General features: G+C 34.9%; 1 protein-coding gene across 9 annotated transcripts in view, besides 1 other annotated feature; it reads right to left on the bottom strand.

The window, feature by feature from the left end:
* Positions 1-4,238: 4,238 nt before the first annotated feature.
* The window catches only part of HNF4G (hepatocyte nuclear factor 4 gamma), a 159,186-nt gene continuing 136,152 nt past the window's right edge, over positions 4,239-27,272 (bottom strand). For all 9 annotated transcript variants that reach the window (XM_017013373.2, NM_001330561.2, XM_017013374.2 and 6 more), the window contains 9 exons: positions 27,094-27,262; positions 23,392-23,486; positions 19,579-19,685; positions 17,876-18,031; positions 15,004-15,091; positions 12,403-12,555; positions 12,036-12,272; positions 10,607-10,729; positions 4,239-7,098 (listed from right to left, as the gene is read on the bottom strand). In XM_017013373.2, coding sequence (XP_016868862.1) covers positions 6,977-7,098; positions 10,607-10,729; positions 12,036-12,272; positions 12,403-12,555; positions 15,004-15,091; positions 17,876-18,031; positions 19,579-19,685; positions 23,392-23,486; positions 27,094-27,239 — 1,227 coding nt within the window. In that variant the 5' untranslated portion in view covers positions 27,240-27,262 and the 3' untranslated portion in view covers positions 4,239-6,976. The remainder of the gene's footprint in view (positions 7,099-10,606; positions 10,730-12,035; positions 12,273-12,402; positions 12,556-15,003; positions 15,092-17,875; positions 18,032-19,578; positions 19,686-23,391; positions 23,487-27,093; positions 27,263-27,272) is intronic.
* Positions 10,288-10,497: an enhancer, noted in NCBI's record as "active region_27543". NCBI's record gives its function as "activates an Ori minimal core promoter by ATAC-STARR-seq in GM12878 lymphoblastoid cells {active_cell/tissue: GM12878}" and the evidence as "EXISTENCE:reporter gene assay evidence [ECO:0000049][PMID:35858748]".

The raw sequence follows: 27,272 nt of genomic DNA, 5'->3' as shown, positions 1-27,272 counted from the left end.
CATTTATCATTTCCCTCATTTTTCTTAACTCCTGATATATTGCACCCACTAGTACATTTTCTTTCACCAATATACCATTACAGTTCATTATAGGTGAAAATTTAAATAATTTCACTACTACTTTGTTCCAGGAGCTATCCATTGTCCAATAATTACCAGTGACAAGGCTCCTGTTGAGAGCTGGCTGTTGGGTAATCCTGTTTCACAGTCCAATAAGGCAGGGAAATTGCTGTGGCCCTGTCCCTCCCCTGCCCCTATCAGCTTGTCTGCCTCAAGGAAAATCAGTGCATCACCTCAAGCATAAGCTCAAGTATCAGCTGAAGCATGGCCAAAGTAGGGAGATCCTGTCTCTACAAAAAATTCAAAAATAGCCAGGTGGGATGGCTTACGCCTGCAGTGCCAGCTACTCAGGAGGCTGAGGGGAGAGGATCCCTTGAGCCTGGAAGATCGAGGCTACAAAGAGCCCTGATTGCACCACTGCACTCCAGTCTGGGCAACAGAGCAAGACTGTCTCAAAAAACAAAAAAACCTATCTGCTCAAACAGCCACATTGAAAAGGATGTCAAATTGCACTCACATATAGTGTTATAATAAACCATATTATTAATACATTCTTTTCTAAAATTCTGTGTCATATTCCAAATATGACCCAGAGCAAAGCCTTCCTTCTCATTTTTCTCTGTAAAATTAGGTTATATCTCTTCTACTCTCCACTGAGATATAAAAATTATCTGTTAAATATTTTAAAAAATTGTTTGAAATTATTTAAATAGTGCCTACTAATGTAATAAAAATACAGATTCATTAAGAAATTGGGAAAACATGGGGGTTATCTGTATGAAAGTAAATGTGCTAAAAACATCTGCTTTCATAGTAGAAAGACAGCAAGTAATGTCTAAAATGAAAATAAATAAATAAATGAGATTTAAATATGTTTTCAGATTATAGAGAAAAAAACCGATATAGTATTTGAATGTTGTTGCTGCAGAAGTGAACTTGGATAAGAGATGAATGGTAAGAAGGAGAGCTCCAGGTTTCATTGTAGGCCTTAAGTGTAATTTGTCTTTTTAAATGATGTACACGTATTACCTTAATATGAGTAAAAACAAAATTAAACTTAGAATTTCATAAGTATAAGATTAACAGGTCCTTATAATTTAAGACATTTTACAAAGAAGCTTTAAACATCAACAGAGGGTACCAGAAAATTGAAGGATCTAGGTTAAATATTTATATATCAAAAGTATATTCATATAATGTTTAAGCCAACTTAGGGCATATATTTTTATTACTATGACAACACTAGGTAGCAAGAAAAACTACATAACTAAAGTACAAATGTAAGGATTCCCTTTTCAATCAGTGTCCAGTGGTTTATTTGGAGATGTGCTAATTAATTTTGCTTTGGACTCTAAAGACAAGCGTTAACGTATAAATTTAATTAAATGATGATATGATTTGGCTCTGTATCCCCAACCAAATCTCATCTCTTAATTGTAATCCCCACATGTCGAGGGGGGGACCTGGTGGGAGGTGATTGGATCATGGGGACGGCTTCCTCCATGATATTCTTGTGATAGTGATTGAGTTATGTGAACCCAGAAAATCTGAGACAGGTCTCAGTTAATTTAGGAAGTTTATTTTGCCAAGGTTGAGGACACGTCCGTGTGATGATATGTGCCCAGGGAGGTCGGGGAACAGCTTGGTTTTATACATTTTAGGGAGACATGAGACATCAATCAACATGTAAGAAGTACATTGGTTCAGTTTTGAAAGGCGGGACATCTTGAAGCAAGGGCAGGAAGACTAGAAGGGGAAAGGGAGCTTTCAGGTCACAGATAGGTGAGACACAAGCAGTTGCATTCTTTTGAGTTTTTGATTAGCCTTTCCAAAAAGGCAATCAGATATGCATCCATTTTGGTGAGCAGAGGGATAAATTTGAATAAAATGGGAGGCAGGTTTGCCATAAGCAGTTTCCAGCTTGAGTTTTCCTTAGAGATTTTGGGGGCCCAAGATATTTTCCTTTCACAGTTCTCACAAGATCTGATGGCTTAAAAGTGTTTGGAAATTCCCCTGCCTTGTGCTCTCTCTCTCTCTTGCTGCCCTGTGAAGAAAGTGCTTGCTTCTCCTTCACCTTCTGCCATAATTGTAAGTTTCCTGAGCCCTCCGAGTCATGCAAAACTGTGAGTCAGTTACAACTCATTTCTTGATAAATTACCCAGTTTCAGGTAGTTCTCTATAGCAATGTGAAAATGGGCTAATACAGAAAATTTGGTACTGGGAGTGGGGCACTGCTATAAAGATAACCTGAAAATGTGGAATGGACTTTAGAACTGGGTAACAGGCAGAGGTTGGAACAGTTAGGAGGGATCAGAAGAAGACAGGAAGATGTGGGAAAGTTTGGCACTTCCGAAAGACTTATTGAATGGTTTTGACCAAAATGCTGATGGTGATATGGACAATGAAGTCCAGGCTGAGGTGGTCTCAGAAGGAGATGAGGAACTTGTTGGGAACTGGAGCAAAGTTCTTGCTATGCTTTAGCAAAGAGACTGGCAGCATTTTGTCCCTGCCTTAGAGATCTGTGGAACTTTGAACTTGAGAGAGATGATTGAGGGTATCTGACAGAAGAAATTTCTATGCAGCAAAATGTTCAAGATGTGCCTTTTTTTTCTTTTCCGAATGCATACAGTGATATGCATTCACAAAGAGATTATCTGAAACTGAAACTTTTGTTTAAAAGTGAAGCAGAGCATAAAAGCTTGGAAAATTTGCAGCCTGGCCATGTGGTAGAAAAAAAAAAATTTTCTTGAGAGAAATTCAAGTGATTGACTGCAGAAATTAGCATAAATAAAGAGAAGTTGAATGTTACTAGCCAAGACTATGAGGAAAATGTCTCCAGGGCATTTCAGAGATCTTCACAGCAGCACCTCCCATCCCAGGCCTGGAGGCCTAGGGGGAAAAATAAATGGTTTTGTGGGCCAGGCCTAGGGTGCTGCTGCTCTGTTCAGGCTCAGGACATGGTGCCCTGTGTCCCATCCACTCCAGCTCCAGCCATGGCTAAAAGGTACAGCTCACAGCTCAAGCCATTGCTTCAGGGGGTGCAAGCCTCAAGCCTTAGTGGTTTCCATGTGGTGTTGGGCCTGTGGGTGCACAGAAGACAATAGCTGAGCTTTGGGAGCCTCTGCCTAGATTTCAGAGGATGTCCGGAAACACCTGAATGTCCAAGCAGAAATCTGCTGCCGGAGCAGAGCCCGCATGGAGAACTTCTACTAGGGCAATGCAGAGAAGGAATGTGGGGTTGGAGCCCCCACACAGAGTTCCCACTGGGGCCCTGCCTAGTGGGGCTGTGAGAAGAGGACCACTGTTCTCCAGACCCCAGAATAACAGATCCACTGACAGTTTGTACCGTGCACCTGGGAAAGCCACAAACACTCGGAGCCAGTCCTTGAAAGCAGCTGTGTAGGGGCTGTACCCTACAGAGCCACAGGGGCAGAGCTGCCCAAGGCCTTGGGGGCCCACATCTTGCATCAGTGTGCCCTGGTCATGAGACATGGAGTTAAAGGAGATTATTTTGGAGCTTCAAGATTTAATGAGTACCCTGCCTGGTTTTGGACTTGCATGGGGCCCCTTTGTTATGGCCAATTTCTCCCATTTGGAATGAGAACGTTTACCCAATGCCTATATCCCCATTGTATCTTGGAAGTAACTAAGTTAAGATTTTGGGGAATTGTTGTGAAGGCATAATTGGTTTTGAAATGTAAGAAGGACATGAGATTTGGGAGGGGCCAAGTACAGAATGATATGGTTTGGCTCTCTGTCCCCACCCAAATCTCAAATCAAATTGTAATCTCCATACATCTAGGGAGGGACCTGGTGGGAAGTGGTTGGATCATGGGGGCAATTTTCCCCATGCTGTTCTTGTGATAGTGAGTTCTCACAAGAGCTGATGGTTTAAAAGCATTTGGCAGTTCCCCTCTCGCTTTCTCTCTCTCCTGCTGCCTGTGAAGAAGGTGCTTGCTTCTCCTTTCACCATGATTATAAGTTTCCTGAAGCCTCTCTAGCCATGCAAAACTGTGAGTCAATTAAACCTCCTTTCTTTACAAATTACCCAGTCTCAGATCGTTCTTTATTGTAGTGTGAAAATGGACTAATACAAATGACTATATAAAATATATTATCAGCATCTGTAAAAACACGAAATCATTTTTGAACACTAATGAAGCACCTGGTTTCAGTGATTTTTTTTTTCTCAGTTTTTATTTAGAAAGTTTAGTGAAACAAACATAGCATCACAGTTTAGTAATACTTTAATCTCACTATAATTTAACATGGTAAAAAATCTACTAATTTTTGATTTCCAACAATAAAATTTATAAAAATAATTATACATTTATAAAATGAATTATTTCACAATAAATTATTCACTTCTATTACCTGAAAAAAGTTGAATACTATATAAAAGTAATAACTTCCCTTATCAATATTTTGAAAATATGCTGAAAACATCAGTTCCTTTTTTCCAGCATCTATGGCAGTTCAGTATATAAAAATATAATATTATAAATTCCCTGACCATAGTTATTGAAGCAGAATCATTACTAACAATTTCAAAGATACAGCTGTTTAGTAAATATACACGAATAAATTACAGGGTTCACTAAAAATGAATTTTATCTTTTATACTTCAAAGGTATTTGCTATGTTCTGAATTTTTGTGTTTTCCAAAATTCACATGCTGACACCTAGTCCCCAGAGTGATGGTATTAGGAGGTGGGGCCTTTGGAGGGTGATTCAGTCATGAGAATTAGTATCTTTATTAAAGAGACTCGAGAGAGCTACCTTTTTCCTTTTATGTATAAGGACACAGCTAGAAAATGCCATGTATGATCCAGAGGCCTAATTTGTTGATCCCTTAATCTTGGACTTCCCACCATTGAGAACAGCGAGAAATAAATTTCTGTTGTTTATAAGCTGCCAAGTTCATAGTATTTCATTACAGCAGCCTGCACAGACCAAGGCAGTATTTTTTTTTAATGTCTTCTAAGGGAACCCCCCCAAAAGTAAACAAAAATCTACAAAAGTTATTTGTATGATCAAAATCAAAACATTCTTATTCACGAAATAGAAGCTACAGTAAATTTTCAAAAAATAAGAGTTAAAAAACTCCCCCCATATGATATATTTTACAGTTTCACAAGGGTACCAGGTCGTGAAGGAATTTTATTAAATCTATTAAATCATAGATAGCTTTTAATAAGTTCAATTTTACTTTAAGAGCTAATAAGTTACTTGATATTAACCTTTTTACTTATAAGGTAAGTGGGAGATATGACATCATAATCTTAGACATTTAAAAAATCCTGAGAAAGATTATTTCAATCTTTTACAGTTTGGGATCCTCTTTTTAAAAAAAATTATTGATAATTACTCGACCAGTTTTTCCAATTTTCCCTCTCCTCAACCAGAGAGGAGCCACTGCATCATGAGGTGGCCCATGCTTCATTTGTTTTAAAATAAACTCCAGCTTTAAGTGATATCAGAGAGTTTAAGACTCCAATGAACTCTACTCCTCAGTCTAGAATTCGACATTTGGTACATCCCTGGGCTGCTACATTTCAAAGAATCTGCTAAGCCAGTCATTTTACTTTGTTTTCGTTTTCATCAGAATCCATCCGGTGAATCTTTTATTTTATCTAATGTTTTTAAGAGAAAGTCTGGTTAAAACTACAAAAGTGGTTTCTTATTCAAGCTACAACAATTTTACACTCACTGCTTATCGGTAAATATATATTATAGGCAATATGATGAATAGTATCCAATCATCACTCAACTGCATATATTTAAAAACCACACTATGAGTAAGAAGTTCACATTTTTCATTCCACACCAAAGATTCATTAAAGTCAACTAGACCTGGGCTTGAATGTGTTTCTCTCACTCGTTATGTTTGTGAACTTTGGTTATGTTCCTTAAACCCTCAAGCTAAAGTTTCCCTTATTTATAAAACAGCGATAATGATATCTCTCCTAAAGTGTTATTGTGAGGACCAAATAAGGGACATGGGTGGTAGATGGCTAACTTGTCCTCAGAATCAGTTCTCTCAGAGTGACATGGCTTTGGCTGACACAGACTTTCCACCTATAGATAATTCTCCTGGCTACCGTGGGAGCCAGCTGTGGGCATGTACTAATTTCTAGTCAATGGATAACTATTTTCTAAATTGTTTCAGGAGAAAGAAATAGATTCCTCTCTTGATTTAGTCACTGTTTTAGGGGTTTCTTTGTTACAGTTCACCCTGTATCCTAACTGATAAAAGCAACATGTTTTTGCTTAACATACATCTTCAAAGAAAGTCAGATTTCAAAAAGTATCCAGTCATCCTTGGAATGGTTTTTTGTATTTTTCTAAACTTAAGATAGGAATATTTAACTCTAAAGCAAAGAGTTGCTTCTTTACCACAGACTGTCCATAAGAGATTCTTCTTGAAAAAGATACAGCCTATTCTACAGCAACTGCTTTATTTTTCTAATCTCCAAGTTTATAATTTATTTTTAAAAACTTAGCTCATTTTATATTAAACTGAGATTTCTGATCTACTATTTTCAGTCAAAAACGAACACTTTGTTCTGTATCACATCACAATAAAGCAATTATTTACAGATTTAAATTAACATTAATAAAACAAATGAAACTCATACATAAGATTCAATTGGTTCAGGCACAATGCAGGGGCAGTTGGAAAAAATACCCTATATAAACATCTTCAAACTCAGATATACATTGGTTGCATGTGAAAGTTTTACATAGTAGCAATAACAAACAGAATGAACGTATAAACAAGAAAATAGGACACCATCTTATAACAGCACCAATGAAGAAGCCTTGGCTAAGAGTTTGCCAAAAGTGCTATCCTGAGATATTTCAAGATCAACAACTTTTCACATTTATGTAGTGCCGTTCTGAAGTAAACACATTTTCACAATTGCTTTTGTTTGGAGAGATGCTGGTGTGAAATGACTGATGCTTGGTTTGCAGCTATTTTGTACTGTTCTTGCCCAGAGCCTTGTGGTGGGGAAGGGAGTGGGGTTTCAGGAGTTGCTGAAAAAGAATCAGAGAATTGAGTCTAATGGTGGCAGTCAGTCTTCCTCACCCCATTAAACCCTACATAACACCAATACACATTAGCGTAATTTGGAAATGTTTTTAAAATATCCTACACAGAATAGTGATTTGTAGAATGCATTATTGGCCCATGACGTACTGTTAGAGAGTACTCTCACCTTACTTTCCAAATAACATTAAATAGAAAGAGGTCATGTTAAAAAATTTTTTTCATAGTTACTTTAAGGTGTTTTCTGCCTTTCCTAATAGCATTTATAAGCATTTGATTCTCTAACAAACCTAGCAGGAAAAAAAGGCAGTGAAAAGAATTAACAGAAGGACAGTTTTCTCAAATATTAGAAAACAATGTTTATATTTTTTATAATCAAAATTCACATAAAATAAAAATATATTTGGTTTGGATTCCACTAATTCAGACATATTAGATGACATAAAAAATTAAGGTTAAGATACTTTATAAATGTTCTGAAATCTAAGTTGTAGTCAAAAGCATCTGAAAAATACTGGCTTTTTTTTTTTTGCTTCAAAATTATTCTATTACAATCGAGCTTGCCTGTCGCATCCCCTTTGATGCAAAGAGCAAGCCTGAGTAATTGAATATAAAGTAACTGAATATAAAAAATTGAATTGAATGTAAAAAGTTACAGTTTCAAAACTTCATTGTCTAGAATAGTAGTTCTTTCTATTGTAAAATCTAACCATATTATAAAATAATCCAGGAGTTATTCTGTAATTTTTAGAAACTTGAAATATTTTAGTACTCACGCTTATTGTTATTGTATTATTCCACATAGTAAACAGAACTAACAGAAAATGTTTGATGATCAGGCTGAGGCTTTGTAAACTTTATAGCTTATGTCTCAACAGTTTTAAAACATTATATACAAAACAAGAACAGTCTCCTTTTACCTGGTGTTCATTAATACATTAGCTTTATATTATTGTTAAGTATGGATTAGCAATTACTTAGAAGCAAAATTTTTAAGTGCAGTTTAAATGACAAATCAATATCAAAATCTGCTTTTACAATTATTTCTGGCTATTTAGACCAGATCTAAGACTGCAGTAGCCTTCTCTAAAAGACCAAGAAAATATGCATGAATTTAAATTTTGGTTGTGTTTAATATCCTGCTTTGCATAAAATATAAATTATTTCAAATGAGCATAGTAAAGCCAAGTTTTCTTTTGCAAACAAATCCCACAAATAGTATGTGGAAAGAACAAGAATAAAAATGAAAGTAACAATGTGATTTTTAAAAGACTAGGGTCAGCAAATATGTTTTTAAAATACTATAATACTAGCCCTTAAAAAGTATTCAACCACCAGCAGAACTGTCCAACTCTCTTGTCAGTTGATTCCTACAATGTTTATTGTGTTGTTAATGTGTTTTATTTTGTGAGTTTATGAATAACTGATCTTTAAGAGACACAACTCCATAAACGCTCTAGTTTGGTATTAGGCTTGCCCCTCTCTTTCTGCTATTGATTATCTGTTAAATGAAAATGGTAAGATCTATTCTGCAAGGATGGTCCCAAATAATGTCTTTCAAGTACATTGGAAATCCAAGATTATGCCATATTTTTCTAAAATTTATATTTTTTCCTAACAATTTCATTTCTTTCTCTTTCTCATATATTCAAATAATTTTGGTTTCAGATACTATTTACACAAAGATCTACCTGTGCTTGTATCTAAAAGATGGCATGGTAGCACGCAGTCCCATGGCTTCTACGTTCCCTACCAATGCCTAGAAGTCAGGTGGTACTGGTAAATTGTTGTTACATTGCATACAACATTTGGAAGAAAAAAAAAATGCTGTAGCTAGCTATTAAAGACTATTGTAAATTCAGTAGGCAATAAGTGTATGCATAATAGTTACATCACAATAACTCAAGTCATCTCAGTGAGTTAGTAGTAGGTTTGGTGTTCAGAGGCAATAGATCAAAGGTAAATCTGGGATTAATTAGAGTAAATTCAGAAGCAATTAATCAGTTAATCTAGATATTTAATCAAATAATTAGAGATTTGTATCACCAGAGTAGCTTAGAAAAAATAGAATTAGCATGAAAGCTACAATAATAGATTAACTTAGCTACTAACAATCTCTATAGTATTTATATGGTCATTTGCATTCCAAGGAGTTTTCATAAGCAGCCCTCACTGCACAATTCTGATGTGAATGAATTCTGGTTACCAAGGCTTAGTTAAACACCACCAGTCTGGCAACAACATGGTTCAAGTTTCAATTACCACGGTAACTCACAATTAAGAGTGAGCAATTTCATAAATACAGACCCCACTGCCAACTCTTCAGTCTGCAAACAGCTACCTAAATAACAGATGTGCTTTATGATCAGTGACTGATCATGTCACAACTTTTAGTCTGTCCATGATTGGTCATTGAGCATCTTCTATTCAGTTCAGGCATGGAAAACAAACTGCATACGGTGGCTGTGTTGCCTCCTTGTTTCCTAGTGGTAAATTCACATCACATTTTACAAAATTGAATAATTGAATTAGAATTGACCAACAACAGTGGAAGTGCAGAAAGGAATAAAAAGTGATAATGCTGGAAGTGACATACAAATAAAACATAAATGCAGTCACAGAAGAAGTAGCTGACCATGGGAATGTTGCCGCTGCTGTTGTTTGAGTCTCTAAATATGCAGCCAAGAACCCAGCGAAGGAAAACGTGTCCACATAAATGAGAAAGCTGGATGTGTCGAAAGGGGAGAAGGTGTCCCAAAATAAGTGAAACCGGCAAGAAAATTTCACATTAAATGAATTCTCAGAAACATGCCATGACATTGAGAATGCAAGGGATAAAATGTTGAAAGCTGATCCAAACTTCCCAACGAGTAAAACTCATCAGGGCATAGAAAAAATCCTCACTTCCTAATGTAAGTTTCAGAAGGTGACAAGAACTGGTCAAACTGCATTTCACAATTTTTTTTTATAGAGAAATAAAACCCTTCGATTGTCAATATTCCTAATGTTTTAATTACAGTGTACCAACTGAAATGTTTTGTATTGAATTCTACAAAATAAGTATAAAGATTATATTTCTTTAGTCTCCATAAACATTAAGAGAGTTCTTAATATTTTGACAAACGTTTTTGAAGGTGCCAAGCAAGAAATAATTTTCCCATTGATTATTAAGATTCCCTTGCATGGTTTCAGCTTGCATTGTCGTTTTTATGGTCTCACACTACCATGCAAAGCAAGGACTACTTGTATACTCTTTTGTGCTCCCCAGACCTATGAAGTAGAAAGATTTTTCTTTCATTTTCATTTTAGGAAGCAAACTTATGTCTAGGGAGAATAAGTGACAAGCTGAATAACAGTCTTCTACTGCTGAGTCTCAGATGGGAAATTACACCAAGTTTTTGCCATTTCTGGTTACTAATAGATTCTTTCCCACAATTCCACTTTTTCTTGGGTAATTAAGAAATATCTTGGTTGAAAAGTAGTCTATAAACTTACAGATCTGGTCTGCATGAACCAGTGTTGACATGGGACCTAAAAGTATAGTTTGTCCAGTTAATGGGTCTTGAGACAAATGTGGATGCATTGGATGATGGAGATGACTGCCATCATTGGAAGCCCCTACAAAAGATAAAAAGATGCTGTGTTAGTGATATTTAATCAGGAACAGCAAGTTTACCTTGAAACAAATGTTTTGATTGACAGCTTAAATATCGCTATTTTTGCCAAGTGCTTTTTGGGAATTCAAAAATAAATTGACAGAACCACTGGCATATTAAGAACAATGTCAGCTTTCACTGTACATTGGCTAGATTAATGTTGCATCATATTATGCTGTGTATTAATAATGGACCTTGTGTGCCGTTTCCTGGAATCATTAGGTTCGCTGCCTGTTGTTAAGGCAATTCCAAGAATCACTTACCTCAAGTTTATAGTATTTGGGATCACTGTAATAGCATGAACAACTTTCATTTCAGAAAGATATCATTAGGAACAAATTATGCACCAGAAAACTAAAAATAAATATAATGATTTTACAAGGAAATTTAATCTAGATTGGAATGCAAAATAAATGATTTCTTAACTTATTCCTGACATGTATTGCAACAATGAAATATCATTTTCCCTTTCTACTATTTTGTGTCAATTAATTATTTCAGGAGCACAATGTTCATTTTTAAGATAGTATATATATATATGTATTAGGTTGTATTGCAATTCCAGTATCCTTGAGGTTTTAAATGAATCAGGGCATGAAAAACCATGATATATTTGAAGAGGTCATAAAATCAGGAAATTTGTTTCTCTTTGCCATGTTTGGAAGGATCTGAAAATTTAAGTCAGAGGGACTGTGGAATAGAGGTGGTGGAGGCTAATAAGAATGGGGGTTTCAGGCTGGGTGCAGTGGCTCACGCCTGTATTCCCAGCACTTTGGGAGGCCGAGGCTGGCAGATCACAAGGTCAGGAAATCAAGACCATCCTAATCAACACGGTGAAACCCCGTCTCTACTAAAAATACAAAAATTAGCCAGGCGTGGTGGTGTGTGCCTGTAGTCCCAGCTACTCCGGAGGCTGAAGCAGGAGAATCACTTGAATTAGGGAGTCGGAGGTTGCAGTGAGCCGAGATTGTGCCACTGTGCTCCAGCCTGGCGACTGAGCGAGACTCTGTCTTAAAAAAAAAAAAAAACAAACAAAAAAAACGAATGGGGGTTTGAATCTGTTCAAGTATTTTTGTCTCTCTGATGGGTCTTGCAAATTTTCTAAATGTAAAACCTTGAGTTCATTATGTCATAGCAGAAGGAAAAAAATTCAGGAGCATCACAGCAACTTCAGTAGATGAATTAAATATGGACAAAAAAATCAGTAGGTCAAACTTATATTTAGTGTGATTCTAATCAATAAAGTAGAAATTATTCAATGTACTCACCACCTAATAGCATTTCCTGAAGTAGATTGTCAATTTTAACCATCCCAAAAAGTTTAACAAACTGTATTTGCTCAATCATTTGCCACGTGATGCTCTGCAGTGTGGGCAGGAGCAGAAGCAACTCTCCAAACCTCCCCCGGGAGTCATACTGCCGATCATTGATGTAGTCCTCCAAACCGATCTGCACTTGGAACCTCATGTTCTTAATTTTTACTGGATCGCTTAGCCCTTTTGCATCTAACAAAGGAATAAGAGAGGCAGTGTACAGATTTAACCTAATTACAGTGTGAGACAATAAATATTCTAATATTGAAAAGTAGTTCAATTTTTATTATATTAATTCTCTAGTGGAATTTTGAAAACCAACCTGGATCAAAAAATACAATTGCCTTTAAACAAGCATACTCATTGTCATCAATCTGGATTTCTTGAAATGGTCTAACCAGCTCATCTAGAACACGATTGGCCACACGGCTAATCTCAACTTCACAGCTGTTGCGGTGAATAACATAGTTGTTTCCTATGAGAGAGAAAACAAAACAAAACAAAACAAAATAACCACCTGTCTCCCCAAATTGTCAGCACTGTTTAAAATTTAACAAACCGGTGTTTAAAATAGTCTACCCTTGAAGGAATAGTGATGTACTTCCTCTCTCAGTGGTGTTGTTAGTTATGCTAGAAAAACTTAAGCATGCTTAAAGGACCAAGAACATTAATAATGTGATCACATGCATTTTAACGGGATCAGTCACTGGTGATAACACAAAAGTGCAGACTAATAACATGCTGATATTTGACAAAATCTAAATATAATGATTAGTTTTTCTCTGTGTCAGACATCTATTAGCGTTTTATTCACTAATGACTACAATACAAACCCTAAAGAATCTTTCTTGTTTACAGCGGATTAAAAACAGCACTTTGATACTCTAGGCATTCTAGGCATACACTATTGAGACAGTTTTAACACACCTAAGTAAAGGAGGTTGATTTTTTTTTTTAAATTAGCATGTGAATTCTCATGAGTTGCCTCTGATAGTATGTTTTCTCTTCCAGGACTTCTTTAAATAGAGGTGGGATAACCACTTTATAAGGCTGACTTTAAGGGAGTTCAGAGATTGGGTAGCGAGCTGGACCACCTATTCCCTAAAGATCTTTCTAACTTAGAAATTCTCTAGCTATAATATGATGAAAATTTTTATAGCTTCCAAAAATAACAGTTAAATTGTTATTTTCTGGTTTTATAAAAAGACAAATATTCTAAATTCTTTCACTGCAGGCAAAGACAATCCTCAGGGTAACAGCATGTTCAATGGTAGCCTCACTCTTTTTTCTCCAGCTTTATGGAGTTATGACAAGCAAACAGAATTGTATATATTTAAGGTGTACAATGTGATTTTTTGTTTGTTTGTTTGTGTTTTTAGATGGAGTCTCTATCGCCCAGGCTGGAGTGCAGTGGCACGATCTCAGCTTGCTGCAACCTCTGCTGCTCAGGTTCAAGTGATTCTCATGTCTCAGCTTCCAGAGTAGCTGGGATTACAGGCTCCCGCCACCACGCCCAGTTAATTTTTTGTATTTTTAGTAGAGACGAGGTTTCACCATGTTGGCCAGGCTGGTCTCGAACTCCTGACCTTAAGTGATCCTCCTGCCTCTGTCTCCCAAAGTGCTGGGATTACAGGCATGAGCCACCATGCCTGGCCCAATGTAATGTTTTAATTTGTATCTACATTGTGAAATAATTACCATAGTAAAACTCATTAACATATATTTCACCTCACATAGTTACTATCTTTTTTTGAGTTTCACTCTTTCTTTATGAAAGGTTAGCTTACCTAACTATTCTGGGTAAATCAATTTAGAACTAGAATGTATACAGTAGGCATTTTGTTTTCTAGGTATATTGCATTTAGGTCTATAACAAGAACAGTATTCTAGATGTTTACTAGAAATTCAAGAGAGGTATTTAATAGCATTTCAGGGCATAGTCTCCACAATCACATTATGTGGTTTAGAATCTTGGCTATATTATTTTCTAGCTTTGTGACCTTTGGTAAACTTTCTCTGTCTCCATTTCTTCACCTGCAAAATGGGCTGAAAATAGTAGTACTAATCCCTTAGGGCTATTTCAAGGATTAAATGAGAGAATATATATACATATACATGTAATGTACTTAGACCAGTGCATTTACATAGTAAACCTGCAATAATATTAAATATTGTTATATTGTCTTCAATTTATTTATATTTGGGGCTAAAACATCTAGCACAAAAATAAAATAATCTAGTCATATTTTCACACATGCCAGAGAGAGGTAGAGCTAGTAAGTGTCAGAAGGATCTCAACCCTCAAAACCTAACTGTTTAAGTTAAGTAAGGTAGCGGGATTGGAGCAATTAATGAAGACAAATGTCTTTTCTTTATGTCTTCTCTACCCCACCACCCCACACCTATTATCCTTCCTTAGCCTCTTCTAGCATTCCTGTCTATCGAAATTGTTCAGTCATTACCACCAATACTTTTTTACTTGATCATTTTGTAGCATATCGTGGGCTATCATGGGCAATAAGATCATAGGACGTAAACATGTTTTTTTAAAGTGTGTAAAATAAAAAGCAGACTCTGAGGAAATATGAAAACACATTGAGACTCCATAAGGCAGCCATATAATTTACTAATTATTCATTCTGATATAATTTGAACATACCTCAATATTATGTTTATTGAGCAACATCTCTTTTTTATTTTTAAATCTTAATGCTCCCTGATTGTCTCATGGACTCTGAACTTACATACAGTCAAGGCAAGGAAAAATAAGGCCAAGTGAGGACACAATTAAATTAAACCTGTGAAGTGACAGCACCATTTGCCAGTGTCTGTAAATACTTGGTACATACAGAACAGACCCTGTATAATATTGCAAGAATAAAATATGCATAATTTCTTCTTAAATTAAAAAAAAAAAACTTACCCAAAAGCAAAATATCTTTATACATCATGGATCTCTTTGTAGCTCCAAGCAGTAAGTGCTCCCCTGCGTGAGCTCTCAACAGTGCCACCTTAATGAAAAATTCTCAGTTTAACAATTAATTATAATATATAATGATTAAAAGATGACATGAGTCTTGTTAACTTAGAGTGTTCTTTAAGCCTGGGACTTTTTGTTTAACAAACTATAGTATTCATAGATACATGCCATCATTAAGCCTTCCAGTTTTCTATCATAGCATGTCAATAGAACTTACTTTTCAAAAATTTTAAAACTATCTAGCAAATCAATACAATGGCAGCAGAAAGAAAAAAAAAAAAAGCAGACAAGTTAACTGTTTGCAAGGGAAACAGAATCAGACCAGAGTTCAAATCCCAGCACGGCCACTTACTACCTGTTTAACCTTGTGTAAGTTAACCAGTACGTTTGAACTTACTCATTTGTTTTCATCTACAAAATGGGAGTAGAGATAAAAAAAATCTCATCATGTACTCATGAGTACTAAACGATAAAACATATATAAAACATAATCTCCTGCACGTAATAAACTAAATAAACAAAAGCAAAGCAAAGACTTCTTGTAAGGAAAAGATGGGAGGTCTGGGTTCTGCCGCTTTCTAGATTATTCTTCTCAGTAAGCTCTCAACTGAGCTTCATTCGTACACTCAATTACCTGCTGGGCATCACCACTAGGAAGTATAGGAAGCATTACAAATTTAACACCTACCAATGTAACACTTCCCCATTATCTTCATCTAGTAAATGACACCGTAATCCAAAGTGCTTGTTCACATCAAAACAAGAGACTATTTTGAGTCCTCTCTAACTCTGCAGTAAATTCTAGTGCTGCTTCTCAAAATACAAGCCAAAGTGATCCACTTCTTTTCATCTCCATTGCTACCACCCTAGTCCAGGCTGAAAACTCTTTGAATGGTTTCTTATTGTCCCTAGACTGAAATCCAAACTCGTCAAACATGGCCTCACAGGTGATGGGAGGCGTGAGAGGGGTCAGTGCTTTGCCTCCCAGCCCTCATGTCTCTGACTTCATCTTGCAACACCCCTTGTTCACATTGTTGCTGCCTGACTCAGAACCTTGGACATGCTGTTCCTGTATCTGGAGTGCTTTCTTCTCAGATTCTCCTGGGCTTGGCCCCTTGTCTTTCAGGGTCTCAGGCAATAACTTCTCTGGTCCTCAGTTTAAAGTATCTCTTCTCATTTTATCCCCATTCTCCAACAACTCATCCTATTCCATTTTATAGCATTTTATAGAGCTTATCTCCACTTGGAATGAACTTTCTCATAATTTTTGCATTTTTTAAGTTATCCACCTTTCTCAAATAGAGTGTACATTTATGAGAATAGTGAAGAAATCTGTATTTTTACTGCTAAATACCCACAGTTCCTAAAACTGAACAGTAATCTCCTAATAAATATTCATTTGATGAATTTATTGAATGAATTTTACTGATCTAGGGTTCAGTTTTAGAAACTGTAAAATGGAGATAATAACACCTGTCACCGAGCTCCTGAGAGAATTAAATGAAATGATGTAATTTATAGTGCAACTGAAAGCTAATTTCCCATGCCTTATTCATAACAGACATTTACTAATTTGTGGCTAATTAATAAATGTTATACTGTTAATATTAAAGAATCAGTTGGCAAATTAAAACTGTTTTTCACTGGTTACTGGATTTTAATTTCCCAATTTTTAAATCACTGAATATATAAGTCAGCAACTTCTAAAGAAGAATGATAATAAAAATATAAAACTGATAAATAACGTAACCCTACTTATATTGCTTGGGGTGAGACTGGTAGGTTTTAGCAATTTAGCGTTATTCACTGGCATAACCTTCTGAGCCATGCTATCTTTATGGTATGTCAATATTCGTGACTCACACCAGGAAGGCAGTTACAGAGCATTTTAAGAATTATTTCAGATTTCACTGTATTTTTTTTTCCTGTCACCAGGTGAAACGCTCTCTTAAAAATAAATATACACTGGTTATAACACTTACCATGGTTAATTTAAGGTGAGAGAAAGGGAATTTTTCCAATTATTTTCATCTACAAAAAATTATACCCTACTTAGTAAGAACGGTTCAAAATGAATCTGAAACCAAAATACTTATCTTTATAGTACAATTAGGAAATTCAAGTTCCTAAGTATTTATTAAAATATCCTAATGGGCATATGACAAAATATGAAAATAGAAGTATTAGTAAAAGATCACTCTATCTTTTGTTGTGTAAATTTTATTTCTCTATAAATTTCTGATCATGTTTCTACAGATGTTTTTCTTTTTGCCAGACATGTAACTTTTATACAATAAATTCTAGAATAAAATTGACAGCATGAAAGGTAAAACTTTATGTTAATTGCATGAAGTACCCACCAAGACAACACCACAACCTGTGTGGTTTCTGTCTAGGAGTGACCTGGTATTTCTGAGGAGTTTTATATAGCAGCTTCAGTAAACGCCAATACACAACATCCACCATTTGCTTCACAGACATTCACTCTTCTAATACTTTGTCTCACAATGATAGTTACATGCTATCTACCTTTCTCCCTCACATGACCCTTTTAAAATTCCAAAAGGGCAGAGGAGTGTTTTGTTCAGTTCTTGTCCAATCAATAAATTTGCTACACCCCTAAAATAGAAGTCAAACAGTTGTGCCTCTTGATAGAACAAGGTGAATGGGTAAGGAAACCCAATCCTTCCTCCTAATTTATCTTTTGCCAAATACAGTAATATAGAATATGCATTACAAATAATATGGAAAGAACATAAACTTAGCAAAGTTCAAGAAGCATTTTTAAAGCATTTATAAAGTTTTAAATGTGTACCTGATCATCCAATGGTAATTCACAGAAGGCAGGAATATATTTAGCCCATTCCACCAAGACTAAGAGCTGCTGTTTCATAGATTCACAGACATCACCAATACTTGCAATTTTCTTAACGTTTATGTCAGTGCTTGACCCAGGGCTTGAGACTGAGATCTAGTATTAAGAAAAGCATTATATTATCATTTAAAATAATAGATGGCCAACATTCCCCTTTTTTTCTTTTGACTATGATAAGTAAAGGCCATAGAAGTAGGCACTATTGTTGTTACAGTATCTTGACAAATACTAAACATTTTAAATTGAAAAATGAAATACTGATTTAAATTGAAAAATAAAATACCTATAAGTTTACAAGTTAATTTAAAAACATTTCATATATATAGCACCATCCTCTGGGAACAGTATCTTATGTTAGTGGTCAAATCTGTACACTAAGTTTTACCCCAACTTTTGAGGAATTTCACAATTCAAAATGGCTATAAAAATAGATAGATAGTATCCATATGTAATATGCTCTTTGATTTTATTTTGAATTAAAGGTGATATTTTCTTTAATTTGTGGAAGTTTATGAAGAAAATGTTTTCATAACGTTTACCCAGTTGGGGAGACAAGAAGCAAGAACTATTTGTCTCGCTGCATTAAAAGGAAGCCCATCAAAATTAAATTAAAAAACCAATGTGTGACTCAGCAATGTTGAAGAGCTTAACATATAATAAATTTGTAAGATTTGTAAATTTGTAAATTTGTAATTTTAGACTATATAAAAATATAAGTAATAAAGCTTTTCTGCTGAAAGAAAACACAGTCTAAAAGTTTTTATAAACTTATTTTTGAACATGCGTGTGAGTGTATCTTTATCTGTATTTGAATATTTTCTCATAGCTCCCCTTTAGGTCATTCTCTAAAAGCTTTATTGCCCATCAAGCAATCTTCAAGTAATAATGATAACGGTGATGTTAACCTCATCATATTACCCTTGTGTTATCAAAAATGAAAGTAGTTGCACTGACTCATTATAGGACCTGATTAACTACTTGGCAATTTTATAATCTGCTTTATAATAGAAAAATAATATTAACATTTCTAATAAGGGCAATGCTAAAGTAAGTTTGATTTAAGGATTTCTTTATACAACACTAAATAATTTATTTTTATGTATATAACTAATGACTTATTTTTTTAACTGTAGAACTGTTATTTGAGAAATTTAAAATAATAAAGTTTTCTCTCTTCTGTGTTTTCTGAATTCTGACTCTTCATTTAAATGTCTGCTTCCAAAGCAGTTCCCAAAGATCCAGAAGTCATTTTCAAGGAAAGAAGCTCTGATAACAAATATCAACCAAACTCCCCAAAAGTTGTGGTAGCTGGTTGTACAGATTCCATCAATAAAATAAAATACTGCCTACAGAGCTTTGTGCTATTCATTATTTTTAATCAAACTTATAAGCAAACTTTTTAAAAAACAATCTTAGACTGAAATTTGTTTTATTTTTCCATTTAAAACTAGTCTTGTTCAAGAACAGTCAAAATTAAGTCAGCAGTCCCACTCAAACTTTCAAAGTAAAACTCTTAATTGTGTGTAGATGTAACTTATTTTAGTAATGAGCACCTTTGAAAAAACTTAGATTATTTTAGCATGATGCCTACATGGACATTTGATTTTATTAAATAGGGTTTGATGCTGCCGTGCCACAGGTACCTGGCGAGACCGAACTTCAGCTTGTGCCAGTGTGTTAATGGAGGGGATGTTGCTGCCATCAAATGTGCTTCTTCTGGTGCTTATTCTGTCACGTTCATTTTGTACAGCTAGGGGGAAAAAACACAGTATTTATTGAGCACTTCTCTTTAGTGTATGTTAGAATATAGATTTTAAGGAGTTTTTTTTTTAAGTAAAAAAAGTGAGAAAAAGTCTTTCTAAAAGACCTTGGAAGAAAGATATTTTCATTCTCCACTACTTTCAAAAATAGCAATAGTCAGGTTTGTCACTAGAGCTCATAAAACAATGCTGTTTGAGACTTCATGACAGCATGCATGTTAGAAAGTGTTGGGTCAGCCAGTTCCGCCACGCTGTATTTTTAATAGGGTGGTTTTCTATTCTCTCAAAGTTAATAAAACTATAAGATAACTAGAGGAAGAGCATTGCCTATAAGATTGACCAGGTCAAAGATAAGAGTGTATTCACTATCAGAAAATATGAGTCATAGATTTTGAAACTTCCATTTTCTTTTCTCTATAAAACACGAGCAAAAATGGAAAGTAAACTTAGTTATGATGATTTTAGGATTGCAATATTATGATCTCTTATAAAACACTGTCCATGGGACAGTTTACCAACATTAATAAAGCAAAAGATGTACCATGGAGCAGTCTCTCCTGAGAAAATTGAGGTTTGAATATCAGCATTTTGGAAAGATGAAGAAATCCTATATATTATACAGGTTTCTAAGAGAAAGCTAGATCTGCTTCTTTACTTCAGGGTTAAAAAAAAAAAAAGAGTAATGTAATTCCCCAAATCCCTTACTGAAAACTGCATTTTTAAATATAAGGAAGAGTGACAGGGAAAATATTAACTCACATGTTTACCAGAGAGAGAATAAAATCAGGCCAAGTGTGGTTCAAGTCTGTAATCCCAGCACTTTGCGAGGCTGAGGTCAAAAGTACGAGACCAACCTGGCCAACATGGTGAAACCTCGTCTCTACTAAAAATACAAAAATTAGCCAGGCGTGGTGGCACACGCTTGTAGTCCCAGCTACTTGGGAGGCTGAGGCAGGAGAATCACTTGAACCCAAGAGGCGAAGGTCAGAGTGAGCCAAGATCGCACCACTGCACACCAGCCTGAGTGACAGAGTGAGACTCCATCTCAAAATAAAATTAAAAAAAAAGAGAGAGAGAGAGAATAAAATAGATATCAAAGTTGAATTTCAAAACTTTAGAGGTGAAATTATCTTTCATTAACCAAAGAGAAGGGAAACAAGGAATGTAGCCCCTAAATTATTTCGGTTAAGGCTGTAATTTGTTCTGCTGGAGCAACAAGGCATTAAAATATCATTTTTTTTCTGCAAGTATGCTTTTGTTAAAGAAATCCACCAATTTCTAGAGACCTAAAACTTACTATTAAATATCCACTCCATTAAGTTAAAGGAGGAATTACAGGACTTTTTGCTTTTAAGAAAGAGTGAGTTGTCTGTGGGTTTGTCATAGTAAATGTGGCACATATACACCATGGAATACTATGCAGCCATAAAAAATGATGAGTTCATGTCCTTTGTAGGGACATGGATGAAATTGGAAATCATCATTCTCAGTAAACTATCACAAGGACAAAAAACCAAACATCACATGTTCTCACTCATAGATGGGAATTGAACAATGAGAACACATGGACATAGGAAGGGGAACATCACACTCTGGGGACTGTTGTGGGGTAGGGGGAGAGGGGAGGGATAGCATTAGGAGATATACCTAATGCTAAATGATGAGTTAATGGGTGCAGCACACCAGCATGGCACATGTATACATATGTAACTAGCCTGCATGTTGTGCACATGTACCCTAAAACTTAAAGTATAATAATAATAATAATTAAAAAAAAACAACTACCCAGAAGCATTCTGAGAAACTTCTTTGTGAAAAAAAAAAAAAAGAAAGAGTGAGTTTTTGTAAGTTGGAGTGAATCAGTAATATTTTATTTTAAAATCATACTTACTGGTAGCTTGCTCTTTTTGTTTTACAGAAATTGTTATTGATTTTTAACCTAAACTGACTTATTTGGAAATGCATATGCAGAGATAAAAAATTAAGATGTTAGCTAAGCGTTTATGAATTTCACTTACATGATTATTCTTTAGAAAAATGCTAAAAGATATTGTAAACATTTATAATCTCAGTGCTATCATTTTTGACATAAAACTATGCTTCTATTTGTTTCCATCTAATTAATCTTGCTACTATGCTGTTAGTGTAAAAAAGAGAAATATATCAACTTTAAAACTTGAAATTACTTTCCAGTTTATTTAAGAAAATAACACATTCTTTTATGAACAAAAGATAAAATTTACCTATTTTAAAACATAATTGTATTTCACAAATTGTAAAACTCATAAAGGAAACATAGGATTGTTATTTGCTTACACTTTTGTGGGGATAAACATGGAGTTCAAGTAAAAATGGAGGAAGGCAATTGACCAAGTGTGTAATTAGTTCCATAAACTGCCAAATAGAGCTTCCTATGAAATTAGAAATAAATCACTTTTTAAATGAGAAAGTGCTTCTCCTTTAATTTTGTGAACTTTATTTTTTGTTGTCTTCGACACTACCAACCTGAGCAAAACTAATGGTATTTCTGTATCCTTAAAATATTGAATGGCAAAGAAAAATCTAACTATGTTAAAGATGGGCTTCATATATTTTACACTTCTTTAGTATAGTGGTTTCATTTGATTATTTTAGTTTGTGAAATAGTTGTGAAAAACATCTCTTTGTATATGATAGGCATGACCAAACAGCAAAACTGACAAGTATAAAATTTTGTAGCTGTTACACACTGTCACATGTTTACAATGTGTTCAATACATTTGTTTCTAAATTAATCATATTTAAAATGTAGGAGAATATAATCAGATTACTTAATATATTCAAGATGAAATTAGTACACACTAAAATAGCACATCTAGTCTCTTGTCTCGGTCCCTCGATATAATACAAGCTTCCTGAAAGGGAAGATTATTTTGTCTGCTATGTTCACTATTGAAGCTTTAGCACCTAGAACAGTGTTTGGAAAATTGCAGTGTTCAACAAGTATTTAGTAAATAAATGAATGCATGAAAAGTAGATGTTCATTCAATGTTCATCAAAAGAAAAAAGATATTCAGTTGTTATTGAGAACAACAACAACAAAAAATACATTTGTGTCAGGTGTGGTGGCTCAAGCCTGTAATCCCAGCCCTTTGGGAGGCTGAGAGGGGTGGATTACTTGAGGTCAGGAGTTCAAGACCAGCCTGGCTAACATGGTGAAACTCTGGTTCTACTAAAAATACAAAAATTAGCCAGGCGTGATGATGCGCACCTGTAGTCCCAGCTACTGGAGAGGCTGAGGCAGGAGAATTGCTTGAACCTGGTAGGTTGCAGTGAGCCATGATCATGCCACTCTGCACTCCAGCCTGGTTGACAGAGCGAGACTCCATCTCAAAAAAAAAAAAAAAAATCTGTAATTTCAACCCACTAACAGAATATTGGTATACCATTTAGTCAATAATTTTGTTGCCTTGGACAATGTAATGGTGGAGAGAATGATATCCATAATCAGGTAGTCACCAGATAAATACTGGCTATACCACTCAATAACTGGATGTCCTTGGGCTAAATTCTTTAACTTGAGGAATCATAGATTCCTCCTTATTATATTGAGGAAAATTAGAACTCATGTAAAAAGTTATACTAATCAATGAGAATGTGTGTGTATGTTTATCACTTTTCATCAATAATGTTAATTATCATCATCATTATTATTACCTTCTTTTTTCATTCCCGCTCTAAAACACTTTCTTAATCGACAATATCTACATTGATTCCTTTTGTCCTTGTCAACAACACATTGCCGACTGAACCTATAACATAAAGATATATCAGTTTGCAGAAAACTATAATTTACAAAAGAAGCAAATAAACAGACAAATGGATTTTAAATATGTATTGTCAAATTCGGTTCGATAAAAAGAAGGTATAGGAACAATCAGCTATGACCTTTCCAGTCTCTCAATCAGCATGTGCGTGAAAACGCGAGCCTCACCTCTCACTTAGTCTTTATAGTAAAATAAAACTGAATGACTATCTTCATTTTGGCTGCTGTGCATAACCACTTTTATCATGAGTCATGAAAGCCAAACCTAGTTTTGAATATCTTTGGCATTCAAGTTTTTGTTGCTTATTGCTAAATGATTTCAGTATGAAGGAGGCTATTGTCAGAACTTCATGGCCCTGTATTTTCATGCTTTTCTCTTTTCAAATATTCTTCTATTAATTTTAAGTGTACCCCACAGCCCACTGAAGTTTACCCTAAATGGCAAATTATCTATTAAGAGGTCATTGAGGACAACATTGAGAGTACAGTTGGCATCATGGGGTAAGACTTTACACACAGGTAAACAAAATAAAGAAAAAACAAATGTTGGTGAGGATGTGGAAAAATTGGAGCCCTCATACACTGCTGGTTAAAATGTTAAATGATGCAGCTGCTTTGGAAGACAGTTTAGCACTGTCTTAAAAAGCTAAACATAAAGTTATAGTATAACCCAGCGATGCCATGCTAGGTCTGTATGCAGAGAAATGAAACATATGTACACATAAAAACTTCTTCATAAATGTACACAGCAGCATTATTCATCATAGCCCAAAAGTGGAGATATATCCAAATGCCTATCAACTGATAATAGAAAAACAAAATGTGGCATGACTGCACAGTGGAATTTTATTATTTGTCAGTAAATAAGAATGAAGTACTGATAAATGCTATAACAGGGATAAACCTTGGCAGCCTATTCTATTCTAAACAAAAGAAGTAAGTCACAAGAGATCATATATCGTATGATTTTGTTTATACAAAATGTCCTGAAAAGGCAAATCTGTAGAAACAGAAAATAGATTCATAGTTGCCTCATATTGTTGGGGAGGGAGTTGGGAGGAAATGGGGGAGTAACTACTAAAGGTTTCTTTATAAGGTGATGAAAATGGTCAAATTTGACTGTAGTGATTGTTGCACCACTCTGTGGATACACTAAAAAACTGACTTGTATACTTAACCAAACAAACAAACAAACACATAAAAAAGAGTACAGTCTCTGAAATTAAATCTAAGCTTGATTCCACCATTGACTCTCAGCAGAACTTGGGGGTGTTAAGTAACATTAATTTACAATTGTAAAATAAAGAGAAGGACTTGCACAAAAGGTTGTTGTGTGAATGCACTTCAAATAGTTGGGGGCAAATATTAAGCATACAGTAAACGCTAACATTTCTTCAAAATTCTGGCAAAAATTATCCATACATATTGATATGTACCTGTTTATTTATAGTTGATGATTAATGATAAGAATAAAGACATATATTTTGTGACCTATAAAATGTACTTCTTCTAAAAACTATCGGTGTCCACTTAAAATTGAATGAGAAGCAAAGCCTATCATCAACAAATTGAGCTGGAAGAGAAATGTGCTTTCAGAGTGAGAACAAGGCATTGCCCATTTGGGAACAAATGGCTGATGAGACTCAGGAGAGAGGACCAGATTGACAAAAACACAAGGAGAATGCATTCAATTAACATTAAATTAATAACAAAAATTGAATACACATATTATTAAGCACCTACAACATACAAGATCCTGGTGTAGGGATTAAACAGATTAATGCTACTTGTTTCCTCCACTCAAGGAAATTATAATCTAATAGAGTACACATACAAATTGTACATAATGTGAAAAACATAACATGAAAAGTATTGAAACAGCAATTAAAAGTGCTTTTGAAGGAAATCCCAACCTCAGTTTGATGGAGCAGTTACAGTAGAAATGGAACTTTGTAATCTAAGGAAATAGATACATTTGAGACCAGCACAACCTGAGCTTCAAAAAGTCTCCATGCCCTTAAACTTCCATCAATATACTAACCATTTTCCAAATGAAAAATCATAACATTTGCTGAATACTAAAATATGTAAAGAAAGCTAGGTTGGCAGTAGCATTCTTAATAGGAAGGTGCAGGAGTTAAACTCTATCTGTTGTTAGAATATTTTTTAAACCTCTAAAAGCTGCTCTGAGAGCATCCCTTTTCCACTCTTCCCATAAAGAAAGGACAGAAGTCCTCATAGCCTTTGTGATTCTCTGATTCTCACAAGTTGTAGGATTTAGTTGTTTGGATCATCATTTTACACACACACACACACACACACACACACACACATTCAATTTTAACAGAGCACCTGACTCCAGAAGGTATGGTTTACAGGTTATTCTGTATTTGTTTTAGTTTAGAAACATTCATACAAAACTATTTTTGATGAGGGAATGAAGGACATTGATCTACCTTTTACCTTTAGAGTTTTAATGTAAATAAAGGCAAAACTTATCTAAATACACTTTTTTTTGTTTACCTAGAAAGTTTTTAAAGTGGGCAATTTATATTTCTCTTAACCTGCTTCAAACTATCTTGGAAAAATTACTAAAGAATTACCAGAGAACTAGACAGATATTTGGGGAGTTATATATTAACTTGTATTGCACCCTAGGAAATCACATGGCAAGACTTTGAGAAAGTTAACCTCTTCCCAAATGTCCAATCTGTTCTTAAAAGAACATAATTCTACACGTACCTTTTATTGACAGAACCAACATAGTTATTTTTATGTTAAATTTAACCATTTTTGTTAATAGCCTATATTCAATCTAAATGTAATCTGCATTCAAGGACAGTCATACAGATGAATCAAGATGCAATATGTATACTTAAATCGTGTTATGATGTTGACTAGGTATTAATCAAAAAAAAAAAACCCAAGAAAACAGCCTACTGGAAATGCGTGACAAATATAATATAGTTAAATAAGCTTCTGACAAAACATTTAAATTTAATGACAAAAAATATGGCATGAGAAATACATTCTAAATTTTAGGACTGAAAATTAAATTTCACTCATTGATATCAACAAACTACCAAAATCATCTGCACTTTCATAATTTTGTTTTTAGACCTAGGATGTAATGGCACTTAAAAAATAAACATGAAGAAAAATACTCTTATTAAAAAACCTTTTAAATGCAGATTTTAAAATGTTTAGAGGTATATGAACATGTGGTAAAATAATAAAGAAACACAAGGAAAAGATAACATGAAATGGCAATGGTAGTTACCTCTAGGAGACGAGGGAGAAAAAGTGACAGAGGAGGTGTCCATTAAAGGCTTCAACTATATTGGTCTAAGCTGGGTGGTAGGTAGGTGGATTTTTTATATACCTTCTGTAAGTCTAAAATGTTTCATAAAAAAGAACACCTATGTGAATACATCCTGTGTACATACCCACACGTTCTTACTTGTACCGCAGTTTAGAGATTGTATTTATAGACTTACAGATATACGAAAACTCTGAATTTTCTTCTCTTACTTTTTGCGTGCCAAACTGAAACATCTGTAAAGATAACTTGCCTAAAAGGGCATTTAAAGTACCTGCAAGAATAAACGTGACTCTTACGAATGCTGCGTCTGAAGAAACCCTTGCACCCATCACAGCTGGATGCCCCATAGTGTTTTCCTGTTGCTCTGTCCCCACAGATAGCACACAGACAGTTGACACCGTTGTCTGTGGTATTCATACTTGTCTCTGGGGCAGAACTATCTGTCAATAA

This window comes from Homo sapiens, chromosome 8, assembly GCF_000001405.40.
Source record: "Homo sapiens chromosome 8, GRCh38.p14 Primary Assembly".
Lineage (NCBI taxonomy): Eukaryota > Metazoa > Chordata > Mammalia > Primates > Hominidae > Homo > Homo sapiens.
This window is presented reverse-complemented; position numbering and strand designations above follow the sequence as displayed.